At 38.2% G+C, this 23,380-nt stretch overlaps 3 long non-coding RNA genes across 15 annotated transcripts in view; all 3 read right to left on the bottom strand.

Moving 5' to 3' along the window:
• The window catches only part of LOC105370460 (uncharacterized), a 39,079-nt gene extending 18,253 nt beyond the window's left edge, over window positions 1–20,826 (bottom strand). Inside the window, exons 1-2 of the long non-coding RNA XR_001750731.2 lie at window positions 20,711–20,826; window positions 15,352–15,797 (exon numbers count right to left, since the gene is read on the bottom strand). This is a non-coding gene — a long non-coding RNA (uncharacterized LOC105370460). The remainder of the gene's footprint in view (window positions 1–15,351; window positions 15,798–20,710) is intronic.
• LOC105370461 (uncharacterized) overlaps window positions 1–23,380 on the bottom strand; it is a 433,650-nt gene that overhangs the window by 370,333 nt on the left and 39,937 nt on the right. The gene's annotated exons all lie outside the window — the stretch shown is intronic.
• On the bottom strand, window positions 2,148–12,149 carry LOC112267899 (uncharacterized). The gene is made up of 3 exons (XR_001750732.3): window positions 11,306–12,149; window positions 10,409–10,649; window positions 2,148–3,411 (listed from the first exon to the last, which is right to left on the bottom strand). It is a non-coding gene; the product is annotated as an uncharacterized LOC112267899 (long non-coding RNA).

Here is a 23,380-nt window from a genome sequence, read left to right as displayed (position 1 = left end):
CCCAAGACATGCTGAACTGTGAGTCATTTAAACCTCTTTTCTTTATAAATTACTGAGTCTCATGTATGTCTTTATTAGCAGCATGAGAACAGCCTGATACAAGTAACCTTCTTCCTTTTCTGAATGTTCAAAAACCATTTACCCTTCAAAGCCCAGTGTTAGCTAAACTTCTTTCTGAATTCTCTGAGTAAATCTCTCCAAATAATTCCAAGGGCATTTTGTCTATACTCTCTTATGACATTTACTTCCTACCTTGTATAATAATTGTGCCTATAGTTTACCTCTAGATTAATGCCATCCTCACACGTGTAACCCCAGCACTTTGGGAGGCCAAGGCAGTCAGATCACAAGGTCAGGAGTTCGAGACCAGTCTGGTCAACATGGTGAAACCCCATCTCTACTAAAAATACAAAAATTAGCCAGGCATGGTGGCACACACCTGTAATCCCAGTTACTTGGGGACTGAGGCAGGAGAATTGCTTGAACCTAGGATGCGGAGTCTGCAGTGAGCCGAGATCATGCCACTGCACTTCAGGTTGGGTGACAGGCAAGACTGTCTCAAAAAAAAAAAAAATTTATGTATGATCTTAGCACAGTGTCTTGATGATTGATGATATCCAAATATCTTTTAAACTAATTTTCTTTTCACTTAATTGGTAAAGATAGTAGAAACAGTATAGTATGATTGTTAAGAGACCAGATTCCAGAATTTAGAGTCAAACACACTTAGGTTCAAATGCCAATTTCACCATGTTCTGTTCTGTGACCCGAGCTTGAGAAAATAACTTTTCCTACCAGCAGATTCCTCACCTGTAAAAGTGGCTATAATAATAGTATCTCACTAATAGGACGTAACTACCTAATTGGGTGGTTGTAAGACTCAGATCATTCATGTGAAGAAGTAATTACCGTGACTCACGTACAGGTTCTTGACAAATGTTAGATATTTCTAGTAAACACTGGCCAGTAAGCATGCATTCTAACTTCTTTTAATATAATGGGACTAAATCCCTTGCACCATTTCCCAATCCCTTGCACCTAGGATTCTAGATTTAAGTTCCTACAATTAGATGTTAAACTTCTAGGTTGAGTGTCCAGGAATGACACTCAGCCTAGAGTCTGGAATCCAATTTTGTTGATGTGCCTTAGAACTGCAGTGGCAGCCTGGGACAGCAGCTGTAGCAAAGGTTTCCTAACTTGGTAGGCTATTTTCCACTGATAGCAGAGGCTCTAGAGCTAACAGCTGTGATGGTATCTTTCTTATACCATGGCTTTCTAATGGTAGCAAAGGCATAATCCCTTGACAGCCAATGTGGCTTTGGGAACCATTCCTGGACACTCAACCTAAAATCTGTGGGCCATTTAATGCTCCGTGATGAACACCTTACTGCTTAAACTAGCTAGAGTGAGTTTTACTCTCCACAACTGAACACTAACCAAAATACTATTGTTATTATTTCTTCTGGAGAAGATTTCCACTTGGGAAGGAAAAGATTTGTGACCAGGATGGCAATTCAGAGGCAGATTTCACCCTGAATAGTCGTCTTTAAGTTACTGCAGGTGGTAATCACACTCATACACAAAGAATGGCAAGCAATCATTTGTAATCAGCTTGAGTGAGCATTTAGGGTGTTGAAATTTGGTGTACCATTTAAAAATATCTCTGAATGTCTTGACAGTAACTTAGTTTAGTAAAATATCATGCTACCACTTTGCAATATGTTCCATTCAAGATGAGATTTGGGTGGGGACACAGTCAAACCATATCAGCATGTATCAGTATTTTTCTACATAAACATTTTCTAGGAATAGTAACCACCCATCTTCATGCACCTGCAGGCCCTGGAAAGGTCAAGCACAGAGTTGGAACTCCAGTAGAAAGCATAAGAGAACTCCGAATTCAGGTCTTTTTTCTGCTAGGACCTTAACGACATTCTGTCTGAATTTATCTGCTCTTTTTCCTCTATTCACCTCTGTACCTTTGAGAAGCTCTCAGTATCATACCTTCTACATTTAACCCTGCTTTACTGTAAAGAACTTATCAACAGCTGAGAAACCTCTGTGCTGCTCTCCATGACTTTGACTTCTATGATCCCATGATTATTTTCAAGGTGAACAAACAATAGCCATAAAATAGACCCAGTAAATTTTTGTGGCAGATCGTCTGGCAGCAACAAATATTTATTGAGTGCCAAAAGTATAAAGTATTCCAGGTAGTTGAGATACATATCAAAAAAATAGACCTAGATCCTGCTCTTAACTCACAGGCACTGGCCATTTCATGTCTGAGTGTTTCTGCTTGCTTGTAATGTCACTGAGATCAAACTGGAACAATAACAAAAAGCAGAGATGCAGACCTTAATCTGCGATGTGTTTCTGCACCTTAAAAACAAACACACCTAAAATCTTTTTTACTATAACAAGTACTTTCCCCCCTAATAGTTCCCTCGGACCTGGAAAAGTCTAGAACTTAGTGTGTGAAAAAAACAACAAAATAAATTATCTGGAAATTTTCTATATATTGAAAAGGGTGTGTGAAGACCAGGCATAATGCATTTATCAAAATTTATCTAGTGGTACACTTAAGATTTGGATTTCACTGTATGTAAATTTTACCTCAAAAATAAAAAGAAATTGAAAACAAGTATTATACTCCAGTTAATTATGTTCACGCTAAAATGTCTAGGAGTAAAGTATACTAATGTCTGCAACTAACTTTGAAAATAAATAAAATCAAAAAATAAGATGGTTGCTTTAATAGAGGTGTCTTTAAAAATAATAGTAATAATAAGTAATAATAGTAATTATAAGGTAGCTAGATGGATGGGTGGTTGGATGGATGAAAAGGCAAATATGACACAATGTTAACAACAGTAGAAACTAGATGACATATTCTTTCAACAATTCCTTCCACCTTTCTTTAAAATGAAATTTTTCATAATAAACATTTGGGAGGTGAGGGGAAAGTCCGCTATAGCAGACCAATCGCAATTTGCTGAACCACACCGAGTCACAAAGACAAAGAACTCTTGCTATGGTTTGAATGTGTCCCCCAATATTCATGTGTTGACAGCTTAATCCCTAATGCAACAGTGTTAGGAAATAGGACCTTTTAAGAGGTGATTACATCATGAGTATTCTGCCTTCATGAATGGATTAATGCCATTATCTTGAGAGTGAGTTATTTCAGGAGTAGGCTCATGATAAAAGAATGAGTTTGGCCTCCTTTCTTCTATGCAGTGCACTCTCTTTCCACGTTATGAGTCAGCAAAAAGGACCTCAATCTATGCAGCCCCTTGATCTTGGAATTCCCAGCCTCCAGAAACATGAGGCAAATAAACTTCTATTCCTTATAAATTTCTCAGTCTGTGGTGTTCTGTTATAGCAGCATAAAATGGACCAAGACAAACCCTAAAGGAAAAACAAAACAAAAACAACATCAATGGCAAATAAGGTAAATACTGATAGTCAGATAGTAACTGGGATTTATTTTCTAGGCAAATGGAAGATGGATGGAGGAGTAGAGAATATTAACAAACTCATTAATACCCTGCTTAGCAAAAACCTGCAACCACCACAATTTTCTTAATTTAAAAAAAATCTGCAGGGAAGTGTTTTTTAAAGCATTTTTATTACACTGAAATTACTGTCGTGCTTTCTGTTTCAGGGTAATAAACTGGCACTGCTGCCTTTTGGCAATGGTGGGGAGGAGGAGGAGAAAGAGGAGGGATTTTGTTAAGTGAAGGGCTCACTACCACAGAGCACACTGGTGGGTTTGGAGGGGAGAAAGAAAGAGCAAGAGGGAGGGAAGAGGAGGGAAAAGGGAGGTAAAGAAAAGAAGAAAGAGGTAGAGTGAAGAAGGAATGGAGAAGAGAGAAAAAAATTGAAATTACAGGGCTGAGCAGGGAAAAAGAGGAGCCAACTAGATAGAGAAAGGCTGACAAAAAGAAATTCAGTAAAATTCCATAGTGGTGGGTGGCCAAGGAACATTTTGAGACAAGAGAGGCTGCCTGATCCATTAGAGGTTGTTTTGTTGCTGCTGTATACACTCTGCTGCTATCCTTTCCTCAAATCTTCACTAAAGGCACTTAAAATCATGAATGTTTTATGTGAATGGGCTTTTAGTGGACATCAAGCAGGGAACTTAGTTTTGTTTCTGGGTCAGTGCCGTGCAGAAATCTTGAGAAGGATTTCTGACTCCCACAGGCCTTGGAAGGGGAGGTGTCCAAGTCAATTTTATGTAGATCTTTCAGGATGAATGAGAAGCAGGGGAGGAATGAGACAGCAGCTTATTCAAGGAAAAGCTGCCCTGCAGAGAAAAAATTTCAAAACCACTTTTTCTTATCCATTTTTAACCCAGAAGACCCTCATTATCAGGACTGGAAAATCAGGAAAGTCATTTTCATCCTTACATCGGTCTTTTTTTAATGAGGTTACACTGCCACCTACTGGTATTGGTTAAAAAAAAACCTTTTATTATAATTTTAAACTTCGTGATTCTTTGGAAGCCTTTATCTTTTATTTACTGACAAATTCTTCCCTTGTATGGGAACACAAATTTGCATAAGATGAGTTCTTTGCCAGCGAAATTTTATCCTCTAATAGTAATCTAATGAAGATAACTTGTAGCCCTTCAGAATTCAGACACCATTTCAACAGTAAAACCTTCCTTTATAGAGGTTTCCCATCCTTCTTAACCAGAATTGACAACTCTCTTTTTTGGGCACATACACTATCCATTGTACTTAGTTGATTACTTGATTATACTGTCTCCCATAACTAGACCATAAACTCCTAAGATTCAGGGACTACATCTTTTCTGCATTTATATTCCTAGCACCTGGAACAGAACCTGCACATAGATGACTAATAAATATATAATAAATATATAATATTAATAAATATATAATAATATATAAAAATAAATATATATATAATAAATGAATAAATGATTGATGATCAAAAAGTATAAACAAAGCAAACATCACTTTATATAAACTTTTATTAATAAAAAATTTTAAATAAACATTTCAATTCCAAATATACACATTATGTAATTCCTTGTCTATGGAGTGGCTTTTACCTTGCCCAATATTACATTTTACAAAATTCGTATAGATGAAATCAGAATAAAGAAGATATGTGAAGTTAGATTTTCCCATTAGCATATAATTCATAAACTCTTAATTACCATGAGATAATCTAAAACAAGATATTCTTAAGAGAATCAACTAAGGAAAATTTAGCATAAATAAATTTTATTTATTTAATAATGAGTCAGCATTGCTGAGGGACAAACCTGAGATTTGTAGTACTGAAATTATTCATATCACTTACATAATCCAGAATCATGAAGAGGGTTGAGTCTGAGATTTGAGATCCTCATATTGATTCTAGGGAACCTTAAGGCACCCAGGCCTCTCTTTAGAAACTGATTACGCTATAGGGAGAAGACACTCAGACCTTAACCAAGTCTCCTATCTGAATTTAAACAAGAATGTCTAAAGCACTCTCTTTAAAGCACTCTCTCTAAAGGAACCTCCAGGGAGCATGGCCACTCACTTTGAGTCAATAAAGGATCAAAGAAGTGTGGGCAGTAAGGAGCCACACCTTGTGACATGGCCCTGTTTCACCATGCAATTTTCACAGGGGTCTGCACACACACATTCTTAGCCAATAAGCCGGACACCTCTTGTACTGAGCAAAATCGGATGTGAATTCTTCTATTTTCCTCCCACTTGCTTCAGATTTCCTATTTTCCATCCATTCTTATTTTCTTATCTTCCTTTCTAAGGCTGATCTCATCCCTTCCCAGTCAAGTTCTGAGACCTAAATTCATAAACCATCTTCTTCTTCAGTCTTCCTCATTTTCCTCTCCACCAGTTCCTCCCTACATACCAATACACCAAGTCTCTTCTGTCTTGGAGGCAAAAAAAAAAAAAAAAAAAAATCCTCCGTGAGTCTTTTGCTCTGAAGAGTCAGGTGGCATATCCTAATTCTTCTTCCCTTCACTTCAATCTTCATAAAAGACTTCACCTGCTGCAATTCTCTTCTCCCTTTTATGGCACAATTCCTTGAAACTGAATTTCCCAGGTTCATGTCTTGGTACCACTTTCCCTGAAATTACCAATAACCTTCAAGTTGCCAATTCCGTTACTCCTGCTCAACTTCTGAAGCTTTATGCAACAGTGATCACCTCTGTCTACTGATGCATGCTTGCCCCAATTTTACACTCCCAACCTCTGCACACTTCTCTTGAATAGTTCTCACTTTCCTTCCCTAGAGCCTCTTTTGCCTTCTGCCTCTAAAATAGAAAGTAGAAGATGTACTAAACACTTTAGTCCTCATCTTGTTCTCACTTGACATGTTCTTCCTTAGGGATTTCATCTATTATTTTTGTCCTTCCTCCTTTCATTGATTTAACAGAGGTCTATTATTAGCCAATGATGTGACAGGTACTTTTCCTGGAGCTTGTTATTCAGCAATGAACAAGAATTACAAGATCCCCATTATCATGAGCTTATATTCTAGTGTGTGTATGTGTTAGAGGAAGGAGGGCGGCCAGTGATAGATACTAAACAAATTAAAAGGCAAATAACCAAGAAAGTATCAAAATAACTTTGCACCTGAGCCTATGAGTTTAGCTTTCCCAAGGTGGGCAAATGTCAGCCCTAGAGTATCTTGCTAGGGAGCTTGCCAGGTGAGACTTCTGTGTGGAAGTGAAGATGGAGGCTCAGAGTGAGCCACCCAGCCTGAGCTGACTCCAGCTCATATCCAGAGGGCTCCCCAATACCAGAAGCTTTGTCAACCAGCAGCATCACTAGGCTCTGACCAAACTGTGGGAGAAGCAATCCAAATGCTGAGAGAGAGCAGCAGCAGCCAGCAAACAAAGGACATCGCCATGGCAACCAGAGGAGCCTTGGGATAATATGCAAATCTGGGAATCCTGCCTTCCTTAAGCTGTAACATCATAGAAGCCACCCCAGCACCACATACTTAGATGTTGTCTTAGGAAGAGAAGCTATCTGAGACCCTGAGCAATTATTCCAAGACACTAAGCATTATTGAAACGAAATGTTTAAATTCTTACATAAGACTAAGCTTTAAACCTGATTAAATCCATTTTCTTGTGTTAGCTGTTGTTTATCTGTTTGTTCCCCCATGATCCTAATCCCCCAGTACTCAGCAGGTTGAAGATTATAATGGGTATATTAGAGAGGCGACAACAATCTTTTCTCCCATATTTCTCAGTTATAAAATGGGTAGGATTATGACACAGCTATGTGTTTGTCTTTAATTCTGACTCCTTTCTTGAGTTTTGTACCAGCATTTCTAATAGTCTGCTGGTCTAAAATAAAATTTGTGTCTCCAACCTACAGAGCAACTTTTTCCTAAATCTTTTGTCTCAATTAAAATTAATTTCTGCATGATGGTTTTAGTTGTCTCCCTAACAGAATAGGTTCCTTTTTCCATTCTGACATACACATTCTCTTTTGATTGTCAAATTATTAATGTTATTTATCTCTCACTGTTTTACTTCTTCTGAGAAAACCAGAATCATGATATTGTAAAAACCAGAGATGATTCTACAAAGGCTGTGAATGTCCCTCATTTGCAATCTTATTGGACCCAATCTTTTTTTCATTGTCATTGCCTTGCTGCTGAAACAACAGATGCACCCTCTCTCTAGGCCCAGAGACTATGGGGGAAAAGGTGGGTGTGTGAGATTGTAAGGGCCAGTTTTGAGGGACAGAATTAGTTCAGACTCTCCAAATCAAGGACAGGCACACAGATTGCCTAAAGAGCTGGCAAATTTTTGAGAGACTTTTCCTCCTGAGCCATCTTGTGGTCCCTTTCCATCCATCCAACCATAAAGAATTTCCTGCTTTCCATAGAAGTAAATGAGAATTACTAAGAGAATATCAAGACACCTGGTGACAAAGCCTTCTCAGTATAGTTGTTCCCAGTTACGGGGTTCACACAAATAATGATATAATAAGAAATTTTTCAGCCACCTTAAGATAAATTACTTAAGAGATTGCAAAAGGCATTGCAGAACAACAAAATCTCTAAATTCCTTAGCTTAAAATGGTTTTAGCAAAATGCTTATGTTTTATATAGCTAACGGCTACAAGTCTGTAACTAACACCAAGATTGTAGTAGCTCAGTGCATAGAACTGGTAAGTCACTTTTATAACCTTACTTTTTGGCTTTGGTTTTTGGCTCTTATGTTGCTTAAAAGGTTTTAAGTGTTGATGGTTACCTGCCCACCTCCATTCTCATCTGGCATAAAATGTTTAGTTGGCTGTAAGTCTTTTGGCTCTAAGTCCCTCTGTCACAAGGGTCCCACTGAGGGACAGGATGGACCTGCAGCAGGTAGCCACATCACCCCAGCAATGATATGGGACAAAAGAAAAGTCTGGCAGGTCTTGGCCAAATGGGAGAGAATGTAAACTAAAAATAAAATTCTAAGCCCCTTCAATTGATTAAACAGACCATTTCTTGGCCAAAGGAACCCCAGAGAAATCTTGAAAACTGAGTTCTCAGTCTTGATGGGATGGAGAGGTCAGACACATGTTGTTATACTCGCTACCTTGCTAACCATAATTAGCCTTTCTTCCCTAAGGGCTTAGCAGAAACCAGCCCTTTCAAAAGACTACACCACTGATATCAACCAACAGCCTGATGCTTCCCCTCCTTTTCACCCGATAAGAGACCAATGATGATGGAGTGGTTCTGGCCAATCTACGAAGAATGTACATAAGGGTTTTAATGTCCTCTGCTTCACCTTTTGGCATCAGAGGACCGAAAATTCCACCCTCAGATCACGCTAACACTGACAATTTTTGTACATGGGACCCGTGAAGGAGTATGAAGCTCAATTGTGCATGCACATGTTTCTCCTTTCATAAATACTTATGACTCCTCCTATAACTTATTAAATATGTATATTTGGCCATCCTGCTCAGCAAAAATTCCTGCTCTTTGCCCCTCCCTTGAAGTATCTGTTTATGGCTTCTGGCCGGAGGCTACACTTCCTAGCCTGTCAGAATGGCCACCCTGTAGGCTACAACCCTTTCTGAGAAATAAGGTTCTCCTATCCAAATTAAAAATAAATGAGAAATTAAAAATAAATAAATTGGCCAGGCGCTGTGGCTCATGCTTGTAATCCCAGCACTTTGGGAGGCCAAAGCAGGCGGATCACTTGAGGTCAGGAGTTCAAGACTAGCCTGGCCAAAATGTGAAACCCCATCTCCACTAAAAACACAAAAAAATTAGCCAGGAATGGTGGTGAGCACCTGTAATCCCAGCTACTCATTAGGCTGAGACAGGAGAATCACTTGAACCCAGGAGGCGGAGGCTCCAGTAAGCTGAGATTGCGCCATTGCACTCCAGTCTAGGTGACAAAGCAAGACTCCATCTCAAATAAATAAACAAACAAACAAACAAACAAACAAACTTCTGATCTTCCTAATCAATCAGATTAGGAACTTTAAGGTCTCCAAAATGTCACAAGCCTAACTTAAAATTCCACTCATATATCATTGTTTATTTATATTCTCACTGCCGCTCTGCTAGCTCAGGGCCTCGACTCTCATCTAAAAGACTGCCAAGTCTCTTAATTGGTTTTCCTGGAAAAGGGGCATGAGAATGGACCTAGGGGGGTAAACATAAAGTATGAAGATCTTTGGGTGACTCATTAACACTCACCAGAGAACATTCTGCATGAAGAAGGCACTAAACAAGTAAGTATACAGAATACTAACCAACTGAAATTATCCAGTTTCTGTCATTGGCCGTCTTAGTGCTAGTATAATTTAGGACAAAGCAGCCACGGCAACAGGGATGGAGGCTATGCATGGGCCCAACAGTATGGGCTCTCTCTCACCAAGGCTGAACTAGCTACTGCTATGCTACTACAGATTATCTAACCTACCAGTAACAGACACAAAGCTGAGCCCCCAATATAGCACATTCCCTCAAAGAAATTAACGAGACAGTTGTTGGTAAATGGATTACACTGGACCCTCTCCACTCTGAAAGTGGAAATAAATCACTTTGACAAGAATCAACATATATTACAACATGGATTTGACCTTTCTGCCTGCAGACCCTTAGCCAGAACCACTACCTGAGAACTTATGTTTCTGGTTCACTTTAACCATATTCCACATAACATTGTCTTGGACCAAGGGACTGTCTTTACAGCAAAGGAGATGTGAGCATATGACCACGGTGTGAGCACAGCAGTAGCTAGTTCAGCTTTGGTGAGAGAGAACTCATACTTTTGGGCCCGGGCATAGCCTCCATCCCTGTCACCATGGCTGCTTTGTCCATTATGCCAGCACTAAGGGGGCCAATGACAGAAGCTGGATAATTTCAATTGGTTAGTATTTTGTATACTTACTTATTTGGTGCTTTCATGGAGAATGTTATCTGGTGGATGTTAATGAGTGATCCTTTTCTTTACCGCAAAGGAGATGTGAGCACATGACCATGGTACCCACTGTTTCTATCACAAAATGCAACATTCAGAAGCTTCCAGCATGACAAGCAATGAAAGGTAATTCTAAAGGCATGGCTGAGACAACCCCTTAAAGATGATACCATCTGACGATAGGGTGCCCTGCTCCAGGATGAGGTTATACCTGAAATCAAAAAACATTACATAGTGACTGCATCTGCAATAGGTAAAATGCAGACAGGAAACTAAGGGGAGCAGCAGGAATGGCCCCACTTGCTGTCATTCCCAATGACCCATTTAGCAATTTTCATTTTTATTTCTCATCCCTGAATGCTAGGTTCAATTAATCTAGAGGTCCTGGTCCCATCAGTGGACACAGCCCGTTAAACTGTAAGCTGCAACTGCCACCTGGTCATTTCATACATTTTGGGCCAAGAGACCAGAGGGCAAGAAAAGGAGTCACCATCTATGTAGGGCTAATAGACCTTGATTATCAGGAAAAAGTGGAGCTTCTGCCACATGGTGAGTATGGGGAAGCATATTTTTATCACCCAGGTAATGAACACATTATGTTTGCCATATGAAGGGTATAAATGAAGGGTATCTCTTCATACTCCTTTGCCCAATTTTGATAGGAAATGAACAAATTCTACAGTCACAGCCTCAGGAAAGCGTGGTAACAAGGGCCTCAGGGACCCACAAGGTAAGTGGCTTAGATCAGTAGAGGCGTTAGTCAAGGGTAAGGGGAAATCTAGAATCAGTAGCAGAAGGAGACAATGAGTATTAGTTGTGGCCTGAAGACAAGGTGTAATGAAAGAGACTGGAATAAATCCTACTTACTCTCCTCTGTATTTCCAGAAAAAGAGACCAATCAGAATACTAGAGCTTCTGTTCCCAGATGGGGTGAATATATTCTATGAAGCTAGTGAACGATGGTAGGGATTGCTCGGGTGTACTGTCCAGGACTTACTTTAGTACCAATGCACTCTTCCCCAGCTGTAAGAATGTTGCATGTGGGAGCTCACAACTGGCATCTCTCCAGGAATTGCCTTCTATGAAAGGAGCTTCCTCACCCAAGGGTATGTCCCCTCTCTAGGGGAAGCCCACTTCAAATGACTGGTCCATGTTGGGTATAAGGGCCCAGCTCAATTGACCCAATTCAGAACACTCTGAAGGGTCATCCTAGGTCCAGAACTCTCCATGTGCACAAGATGAACTGCATCACAACTCAACTTCCTCTGCCAGTGCTGCTTTGCTCGCTCCCTTACAGGTGATCTTATGAAAAGTACTCTCCAATCAATCTCCTGCATGTGCTCTCTGCCCTTTTGACATGTGTCCATTTGTCTTTGAGCATTTCCTTACTTTCTGGCAAGTAAAAAAAATGCAGGCTTACTTTCTATCCCTCCTGCTCTGGAATGAGCCATCTCCAAAGAGTATACCTGAATTAGAAGAGAAATTCCACAAGAGAAATTGGTGAAACTACATAACAGTCTTTCAAATGTTATATGTGTTTGAAAGATTTCAAATTCAAAGCCGGAGGAGAAAAAAAGAAAACTTCTTTAAAATTTACAGAAAACATTTGCCAACAGTTGGTCATTAACCACTGAGATTGAAGATTGTGGTTACTGTAGCTTTGTAGTATAGTTTGAAGTCAGGTAGTGTGATGCCTCCAGCTTTGTTCTTTTGGCTTAGGATTGACTTGGCGATGCGGGCTCTTTTTTGGTTCCATATGAACTTTAAAGTAGATTTTCCAATTCTGTGAAGAAAGTCATTGGTAGCTTGATGGGGATGGCATTGAATCGATAAATTACCTTGGGCAGTATAGCCATTTTCACGATATTGATTCTTCCTACCCATGAGCATGGAATGTTCTTCCATTTGTTTGTATCCTCTTATTTCGTTGAGCAGTGGTTTGTAGTTCTCCTTGAAGAGGTCCTTCACATCCCTTGTAAGTTGGATTCCTAGGTATTTTATTCTCTTTGAAGCAACTGTGAATGGGAGTTCACTCATGATTTGGCTCTCTGTTTGTCTGTTGTTGGTGTATAAGAATGCTTGTGATTTTTTTTGCATCGATGTTCATCAGGGATATTGGTCTAAAATTCTCTTTTTTTGTTATGTCTCTGCCAGGCTTTAGTATCAGGATGATGCTGGCCTCATAAAATGAGTTAGGGAGGATTCCCTCTTTTCCTATTGATTGGAATAGTTTCAGAAGGAATGGTACCAGCTCCTCCTTGTACCTCTGGTAGAATTCGGCTATGAATCCGTTTGGTCCTGGACTTTTTTGGTTGGTAAGCTATTAACTATTGCCTCAATTTCAGAGCCTTTTATTGTTCTATTCAGAGATTCAACTTCTTCCTGGTTTAGTCTTGGGAGGGTGTATGTGTCCAGGAATTTATCCATTTCTTCTAGATTTTCTACTTTATTTGAGTACAGGTGTTTATAGTATTCTCTGATGGTAGTTTGTATTTCTGTGGGATCAGTGGTGATATCCCCTTTATCATTTTTTATTGCATCTATTTGATTCTTCTCTCTTTTCTTATTTATTAGTCTTGCTAGCGGTCTATCAATTTTGTTGATCTTTTCAAAACATGGTACTGATACCAAAACAGATATAAACCAACAGAACAGAACAGAGCCCTCAGAAATAATACCACACATCTACAACCATCTGATCTTTGACAAACCAGAGAAAAACAAGAAATGGGGAAAGGATTCCCTATTTAATAAATGGTGCTGGGAAAACTGGCTAGCCATATGTAGACAGCTGAAACTGGATCCCTTCCTTACACCTTATACAAAAATTAACTTAAGATGGATTAAATACTTAAATGTTAGACCTAAAACCATAAAAACCCTAGAAGAAAACCTAGGCAATACCATTCAGGACATAGCCATGGGCAAGGACTTCATGTCTAAAATACCAAAAGCAATGACAACAAAAGCCAAAATTGACAAATGGGATCTAATTAAACTCAAGAGCTTCTGCACAGCAAAAGAAACTACCATCAGAGTGAGCAGGCAACCTACAGAATGGGAGAAAATTTTTGCAATCTACTCATCTGACAAAGGGCTAATATCCAGAATCTACAATGAACTCAAACAAATTTACAAGAAAAAAACAAACAGCCCCACCAAAAAGTGGGAGAAGGATATGAACAGACACTTCTCAAAAGAAGACATTTATGCAGCCAACAAACACATGAAAAAATGCTCATCATCACTGGCCATCAGAGAAATGCAAATGAAAACCACGATGAGATACCATCTCACACCAGTTAGAATGGCGATCATTAAAAAGTCAGGAAACAACAGGTGCTGGAGAGGATGTGGAGAAATAGGAACACTTTTACACTGTTGGTGGGACTGTAAACTAGTTCAACCATTGTGGAAGACAGTGTGGTGATTCCTCAGGGATCTAGAACTAGAAATACTATTTGACCCAGCCATCCCATTACTGGGTATATACCCAAAGGATTATAAATCATGCTGCTATAAAGACACATGCACACGTATGTTTCTTGCAGCGCTATTCACAATAGCAAAGACTTGGAACCAACCCAAATGTCCAACAACGATAGACTGGATTAAGAAAATGTGGCACATATACACCATGGAATATTATGCAGCCATAAAAAATGATGAGTTCATGTCCTTTGTAGGGACATGGATGAAGCTGGAAACCATCATTCTCAGCAAACTATCGCAAGGACCAAAAACCAAACACCGCATGTTCTCACTCACAGGTGGGAATTGAACAATGAGAACACATGGACACAGGAAGGGGAACATCACACACCGGGGCCTGTCGTGGGGTGTGGGGAGGGGGGAGGGATAGCATTAGGAGATATAGCTAATGTTAAATGACGAGTTATTGGGTGTAGCACACCAACATGGCACATGTATACATATGTAACAAACCTGCACGTTGTGCACATGTACCCTAGAACTTAAAGTATAATGAAAAAAAAAAAAAGAAAATCGTGTATACTGCCAAGATTATTGCTTACCACTATTTCCCTTCATTATCTTCTCATATCCTAGAGTCACTGTTCAAGCCCTTTTGTTGACTGGTATATTTTCTCAAGACTTCTCTAATCTCTGAATTCTCACACATCTGCAAACATCTTTCTCCCTAAGAGGTAACTGATAGCTTAGCTTAGCCTAGCCTAAGATTCATGGGTGTAATCTTCTGGTCTACTACCATTAAACCACCACATTCCAGTCTCAAGAAGTGCACACAGGAAATGTAATGTATGTCTGATTATTTGTCCTTTCCAACTAACGTTTTTTTTCTATCTGGACCCTGTAAGATTTTATCATTATCTTTGGAGTCTGAAAATTTTATAGGAATATGCCTATTACCTTTTTTTCCTCATCCATCCTAAATAAAGCTTGGATTAGAGAGACTGGGGCACTCTTCAAGTTGCAGATGTAGGTTTCTTCTAATATAATCATACTATTTTCTCTCACATTTTCTTTTTTTTTTAACCTCCTAGAACTCCTAATATTACACCTCTTGGTCTGTCTTATCCCATGATTTCCTTTTATTTATAATTTAGGGGGCTATTTTTAGCAGAGTTACACATGTGCATCATTTAAAACTTCTACAAGGTTAGATATGAAAAAATTAGATCCCCCCACACTTCAAATTTCTCACTCCCTGAATTGCTTTCAACTCTTTTTGCTGGTTTTTGGTATTTGCCCCAAATTCCTAAATAACATTGTTATAGTCTTATACTGTTACTAACTTTAGTTATAGGCATTATTATCTATATTATTTATTGCAGAAGCTAATAATTTAAATCTTTTCCATATAAAAGCAATAATTTCAACAAACATACACACACACACACACAGGTTATCTTGTTTCCCCAATAGCATTTTACCTTGTTATAGCAGATCAACATACATTATTTATATCAATGCCCATTGTTTATATTGACTACGTAAACACTATTGGTAACTAAAACATGTAGTTTACTATGATTATTTTCCCTAGAATTGAGAATTTTTTTCATTTTTAACTTTTCTATGTACTTAACATTAATGTATCCACCCAGTTCTCCAGAACTGATATGAATCTATTCTCAATGCACTCAAACTCCTTAGGCATTCTATCAATTTTATCTTCTTGAAGAAGTCTCTCCTTGAGCCTCCTGGTCTATTTCAGTTCGAACTGCATTATTTACAGGCTGTGGCTTTTCACCAACACTCAATTAATCCTGTTGTCTCTCTTTTGTGTTGGATCCCATTTCCTCAATTTTGTTTTCTTCTTCCTTGGTTTATGCCATTATTTTGATGATGCACAAGCTCCAGCAATTTCAAGGAAAGGCTATGGAAAAGAATCTTGAGTCAAATATCTTCATCATAATTTACTTCTCTATATGTATTTCTTCTTAGTTTTTAGATATTTCTTCCTCCTAATTTTTCCAACCTATAGTGACACTCCATAGTCACAGGTCTCCATAGTGACTCTCCTTAAATCCATCTACTGAAGTTTTATTTCAAAGATTTGTTTTTCAGTGTCTCAGACCACAGTGCAATCAAATTAGAACTCAGGATTAAGAAACTCACACAAAATCACACAATTACATGCAAACTGAACAAGCTTTTCCTGAATGACTCTTGGGTAAATAATAAAATTAAGGCAGAAATCAAGAAGTTCTTTGAAATCAATGAGAATAAAGAGACAATGTACCAGAATCTATGGAACACAGCTAAAGCAGTGTTAAGACAGAAATTTTAGCACTAAATGCCCACATCAGAAAGCTAGAAAGATCTCAAATCGATACCCTAACATCACAATTAAAAGAACTAGGGAAGCAAGAGCAAACAAAAAATCTAGCAGAAGACAAGAAATAACTAAGATCAGAGCAGAACTGAAGGAGACAGATACATGAAAAAAACCTTCAAAAAAAAATCAATGAATCCAGGAGCTGGTTTTTAAAAAAAAAAATTAACAAAATAGACTGCTAGCTAGATTAATGAAGAAAAAAGAGAGAAGAGTCAAATAGGCACAAGAAAAAAATGATAAAGGAGATATCACCATTGACCCCACAGAAATACAAACTACCATCACAGAATACTATAAACACCTCTACACGAAGAAACTAGAAGTTCTAGAAGAAATGAATAAATTCTAGGACACATACACCCTCCCAAGACTAAACCAGGAAGAAGTCGAATCCTTGAGTAGACCAATATCAAGTTCTGAAATTGAGGCACTAGTTAATAGCCTACCAACTAAAAAAAGACCAGGACTAGATAGATTCACAGCCAAATTCTATCAGAAGTACAAAGAGGAGCTGGTACCATTTCTGCTGAAACTATTCCAAACAAAAGAAAAAGAGGGACTCCTCCCTAACTCAATTTATGAGGCCAGCATCATCTTGATACCAAAACCTGGCAGAAACACAACAAAGAAAGAAAACTTCAGGCTAATATCCCTGATGAAGATTGATGTGAAATGTACTCAATAAAATACTGGCAAACCAAAGCCAGCAGCATATCAAAAAGCTTATCTACAATGATCAAGTCAGCTTTATCCCTGGGATACAAGGCTGGTTCAACATACACAAACCAATAAACTTAATTCATCACGTAAATAGAACTAAAGACAAAAAGAGCATGATTATTTCATTAAATGCAGAAAAGTCCTTCAATAAAATTCAACATCGCTTCATGCTAAAAACTCTCAATAAATTAGGTATTGATGGAACATATCTCAAAATAATAAGAGCCATTTATGGCAAACCCACAGCCAACATTATACTGAATGGGCAAAAGCTGGAAGCATTCCCTTTGAAAACTGGCACAAGACAAAGATGCCCTTTCTCACCACTCCCATTCAACATAGTATTAGAAGTGCTGGCCAGGGCAATCAGGCAAGAGAAAGAAAAAAACGGTATTCAAATAGGAAGAAAGGAAGTCAAATGGTCTCTGTTTGCAGATGACATGATTCTATATTTAGAAAACCCCATCATCTCAGCCCAAAAACTCCTTAAGCTGATAAGCAACTTCAGCAAAGTCTCAGGATACAAAATCAATGTGCAAAAATCACAAGCATTCCTATACGACAATATACAAGCAGAGAGCCAAATCATGAATGAACTCCCATTCACAATTGATACAAAGAGAACAAAATACATAGGAATGGTCCCGGTACAGTGGCTCACACCTGTAATCCCAGCACTTTGGGAGGCCAAGGCAGGCAGATCACGAGGTCAGGAGTTCGAGACCATCCTGGCTAACAGATGAAACCCCATCTCTACTAAAAATACAAAAAATTAGTCGGGCGTGGTGGTGCATGCCTGCAGTCCCAGCTACTCAGGAGGCTGAGGTAGAAGAATCGCTTGAACCCAGGAGGCAGAGGTTGCAGTGAGCCGAGATCACGCCACTGCACTCCAGCCTGGGCGACAGAGCAAACTCTGTCTCAAAAAAAAAAAAAACAAAAACCTAGGAATACAGCTAACAAGGAACATGAAGAATCTCTTCAAGGAGAACTACAAACCACTGCTCAAGGAAATAAGAGAGGACACAAACAAATGAAATAGCATTCTATCCTCATGGATAGAAAGAAACAATATCCTGAAAATGACCATACTGCCCAAAGTAATTTATAGATTCAGTGCTACTCCCATCAAACTACCACTGACATTCTTCACAGAATTAGAAAAGACTACTTTAAGTTTCATATGCAACCAAAAAAGAGCCCATATAGCCAAGACAATCCTAAGCAAAAAGAACAAAGCTGGAGGTATCACGCTACCTGACTTTAAACTATGCTACAAGGCTACAATAACCAAAACAGCCTGGTTCTGGCACCAAAACAGACATATAGACCAATAGAACAGAACAGAGAACTCAGGAATAATGCCACAGATCTACAACCATCTGATTGACAAACCTGACAAAAACAAGCAATGGGGAAAGCATTCCCTAGTTAATAAATGGTGTTGGGAAAACTGGCTAGCCGTATGCAGAAAACTGGAATTGGACCCCTTCCTTATACCTTATACAAAAATTAACTCAAGATGTATTAAAGACTTAAATGTAAAACTCAAAACCATAAAAACTCTAGACGAAAACCTAGGCAACAGCATTCAGGACATAGGCATGGGCAAAGATTTCATGACTAAAATACCAAAAGCAATTGCAACGAAAGCTAAAATTGACAAATAGAATCTAATTAAGCTAAAGAGCTTTAGCACAGCAAAAGAAACTACCATCAGAGTGAACAGGCAACCTACAGAATGGGAGAAAATTTCTGCAATCTACCCATGTGAGAAATGTCTAATATCCAGAATTTACAACGAACTTAAATTTCAAGAAAAAAATAACCCTATCAAAAAGTGGGCAAAGAATATGAACAGGCACTTCTCAAAAGACAGTATTTATGTGGCCAAGAAACATGAAAAAAAGCTCAACATCACTATCATTAGAGAAATGCAGATCAAAACCACAATGCGATACCATCTCACACCAGTCAGAATGGTGATTATTAAAAAACCAAGAAACAATAGATGCTGGCAAGGCTGTGGAGAAATAGGAATGCTTTTACACTGTTGGTGCAAATGTATATTAGTTCAACCATTGTGGAAGACAGCGTGGCGATTCCTCGGGGATCTAGAACCAGAAATACCATTTGACCCAGCAATCCTATTACTGGGCATATACCCAAAGGAATATAAATCATTCTAATATAAAGACACATGCACACGTATGTTTACTGCAGCACTACTTACAATAGCAAAGACATGGAACCAACCCAAATGCCCATCAATGATAGACTGGATAAAGAAAATGTGGTACATATACACCATGGAATATTATGCAGCCATAAAAAGAAGGAGATCATGTTCTTTGCAGGGACATACAAAGATGGAAGCCATCATCCTCAGCAAACTAACACAGGAATAGAAAACTAAACACTGCATGTTCTCACTCATAAGTGGGAGTTGAACAATGAGAACACATGGACACAGGGAGGGGAACAACACACACCAGTGCCTGCCGTGGAGTAGGGGGTGAGGGGAGGGACAGCATCAAGACAAATACCTAATGCTTGCAGGGCTTAAAACCTACACGATGGATTGACAGATGCAGCAAACCACCATGGCACATGTATACCTATGTAACTAACCTGCATGTTCTGCATATGTATCCTGGAATTTAAAGTAAAATATAGAAAAAAAAAAGATTTGTTTTCTACCTATGTATAGAATCTTATTTTCCTTAATGAAAGAATTATATTTGCTCATAGTTTTATAGAAATTTCCACAAAGTAAAACATAACAAATATTTCAAAGTAAACATGTAACAGGCCATAGTCATTGATCATAATACAATAATATTACAAATAATTTTTAAACAGCTTGAAACATCGTAATGACTTCAAAATTAAGTTTTGATCAAAGAGAAAAATTACAAATACTCTAGAGGCTACTGAAAAGGTAAATACTTTACATAAAAATGTATGGAACCCAGCAATAGCCACAGTTAGATAAAAATTTATGCCCCTAAATCCTTTCATTACGAAGAAGAATGAAACTGCAGAAACATTATCATGTTTACCTGAACTTTTTTAAGAAAAGCGAAGAGTGAATGAGTTGATCAATGAACAGTTGTAATTGGTGATATAAGGGGAAAAAGTAGTAGAATTGATAAATAATTCCAAGAGTTTTTTTAACTAAAAATATAAATAAACCCTTTATGGTACTGCTTAAAAATATAAGAGGGAAAAAAATATTAGCAAGACTAGGAATAAAGAAAAATGTACAATTTCCTAGAGAATACAAATAATCCAAATTGAACCAAGAAGCAGACCCAAAATGACTAATTAGCAAAGAAAAAAATGGAAAGGTAACCATTATTTTAAATAACAATAGTAATAATAGCATTATACCCAAAAAAACCTTTAAATCTGAGTTTTACCTAACTTTTAAAGAATGGGTATTTATAGTGTTATTTAAATTATTTCATACCAAATAAAAAGATGAAATGTTTCCCAATTCATTTCACAAAGCCAACATAATTTTATTACCAAAAGTTAACATAAAAATAAACCTAAAAACTATGAACCTAATTATTTCAGTTACTATGGCTATATTTAAAAATTACTCCAATACTTAGTAACCCAAAACAACAATATGTGGACAGGTCTCAGGGGGATACTTCATCTCTGCTCCCCTCAGCATCAGCTAGGGTGTCTCAAAGTCTGGGGACTAAAATCATACGAATACTCACCCACTAACATGTAGTTGATGTTGTCAGATAAGACTTTTGCTGGAGCCAGAACACCTACACATGGCTTCTGTAACTGTCCTAGGCCTCCTCACACTATGGGGGCTGGGTTCTTGAGTGAGCTAGGCAGAAGCAGTACTATCTTTTATGACCTCACCTTGGAAGTCCCATAGTTTCACTCCCACCACATTCTATTCAACAGTGCAAAGTACAGCCCAGGTTCAGGGGGAGGGGAAATAAACTCTAACTCTTGTTGGGAAGTGACAAAGTTTAGAAGAGCATGTGGGACCACAAATATTGCTGAGGTCAGTTTTGGAAAATGCAAAATACCACAGTCCACCCTCTAGCCACAGCAGCAAAATACACTCATGCACTCCCTCAAGACCTACAACATCAGGCTGAGGCTTGAGGTCCAGGTATGGATGAACTTCTTGGGTACAGTTCCTCAAATACAGCCCCTTACGTACAGTTCCTTGTAATCTCAAGAGCTATAAACTAAAAAAGAAAAATTATCTGCCTTAACAAACACCAAATGCACAATGGTGGAGCAAGTACAGGATAACTGCTATAGACACTCCCAAAAAAAAGGAGGAAAGGAGAGACACAGAAGTCATTGGTCCATTAAAAGCTTGAAATCAAGCTGGGCAAAAGGTACTGGTACTTGATTAGGGCTCAGTTGTACTGTTTAAGAATGATTCACTGTGACTCTTGGCTCTCCACTCTGGGCTATTGGTTCTACCCTCTAAATTATTTTTTTTTCATAAAAAATAGCCATGTTCTTAGCATGCTTCCCATATGCAGAAGTTTGGGGTCAAAGGCATCTTTTCATTTTGTACTGTCTCTATGCCTTTCAGTATAAAACGATACAATCCTTTAAAAAAATTGTGTGGATCAAGAGAGAGAAAAGAAAAGCCACTGACTGGAAAAAGTATATGCAAAAGACACATCTGATAAAGCACTGTTACCTAAATATATAAAGAATTCTTTTTTTTTCCATTTTTCCCTCTGAACTTTTATTATAAAAAATTTCAAACATACAGCAAAATTGAAAGATTTCAGTGAACACCTGTATACGCACTACCTGAATTCTATCATTAACTTCTTTTAGCATTTAGAACCTTCTAAATCCTCTCCCTTGTTCCATTTTTAAATTTTTAAAATTGAGTTGAAATTTACACAATGTAAAAGTAATCATTTAAAGTGAACAATAAAGTGACATTTACAATTAGTCATTCACAATATGGTACAACCACTATCTCTATCTAGTTCTAAAATGTTTTCATCACCTCAAAATAAAACTCTATAACTATTATGCAGTTAATCCCATTCTTCCTTCCCCCTAGTCCCTGGCAACCATTGATCTCCTTTCTTTTTTATTATATTTTAAGTTTTAGGATACATGTGCACAACGTGCAGGTTTGTTACATATGTATACATGTGCCATGTTAGAGTGCTGCACCCATTAACTCGTCATTTACATTAGGTGTATCTCCTAATGCTTTCCCTCCCCCCTCCTCCGACCCCACGACAGGCCCCGGTGTGTGATGTTCCCCTTCCTGTGTCCAAGTGTTCTCATTGTTCAGTTCCCACCTATGAGTGAGAACGTGCGGTGTTGGTTTTTGGTCCTTGCGATAGTTTGCTGAGAATGATGGTTTCCAGCTTCATCCATGTCCCTACAAAGGACATGAACTCATCATTTTTATGGCTGCATAGTATTCCATGGTGTATATGTGCCACATTTTCTTAATCCAGTCTATCATTGTTGGATATTTGGGTTGGTTCCAAGTCTTTGCTATTGTGAATAGTGCCACATAAACATATGTGTGCATGTATCTTTATAGCAGCATGATTTATAATCCTTTGGGTATATACCCAGTAATGGGATAGCTGAGTCAAATGGTATTTCTAGTTCTAGATCCCTGAGGAATTGCCACACTGTCTTCCACAATGGTTGAACCAGTTTACAGACCCACCAACAGTGTAAAAGTGTTCCTATTTCTCCACATCCTCTCCAGCACCTGTTGTTTCCTGACTTTTTAATGATCACCATTCTAACTGGTGTGAGATGGTATCTCATCGTGGTTTTCATTTGCATTTCTCTGATGGCCAGTGATTATGAGCATTTTTTCATGTGTTTGTTGGCTGCATAAATGTCTTCTTTTGAGAAGTGTCTGTTCATATCCTTTGCCCACTTGCTGATGGGGTTGTTAGTTTTTTTCTTGTAAATTTGTTTGAGTTCTTTGTAGATTCTAGATATTAGGCCTTTGTCAGATGAGTAGATTGCAAAAATTTTCTCCCATTCTGTAGGTTGCCTGCTCACTCTGATGGTAGTTTCTTTTGCTGTGCAGAAGCTCTTTAGTTTAATTAGATCCCATACAAAGAATTCTTAAAATTCAACAATAAGAAAATGAATTCCCCAGTCAAAAAGCAGACAAAAGATATGAAGACACCTCATTAAAGATATACAAATGAAAAATAAGCATATGAAAAGACGTTCCATATCACATGTCCTTAGGAAACTGCAAATTAAAACAGCAATGAGATACTACTATACACCTATTAGAATGGCAAAAATCCAACACATTGCCAAGACCAAATGATGGTGAAGATGTGGAGAAACAGGAACTGTCATTCATTGCTGGTGGAAATGCAAAATTGCACAGTCACTTTGGA

Source organism: Homo sapiens, chromosome 14 (genome assembly GCF_000001405.40).
Source record: "Homo sapiens chromosome 14, GRCh38.p14 Primary Assembly".
NCBI classification, from domain to species: domain Eukaryota; kingdom Metazoa; phylum Chordata; class Mammalia; order Primates; family Hominidae; genus Homo; species Homo sapiens.
This window is presented reverse-complemented; position numbering and strand designations above follow the sequence as displayed.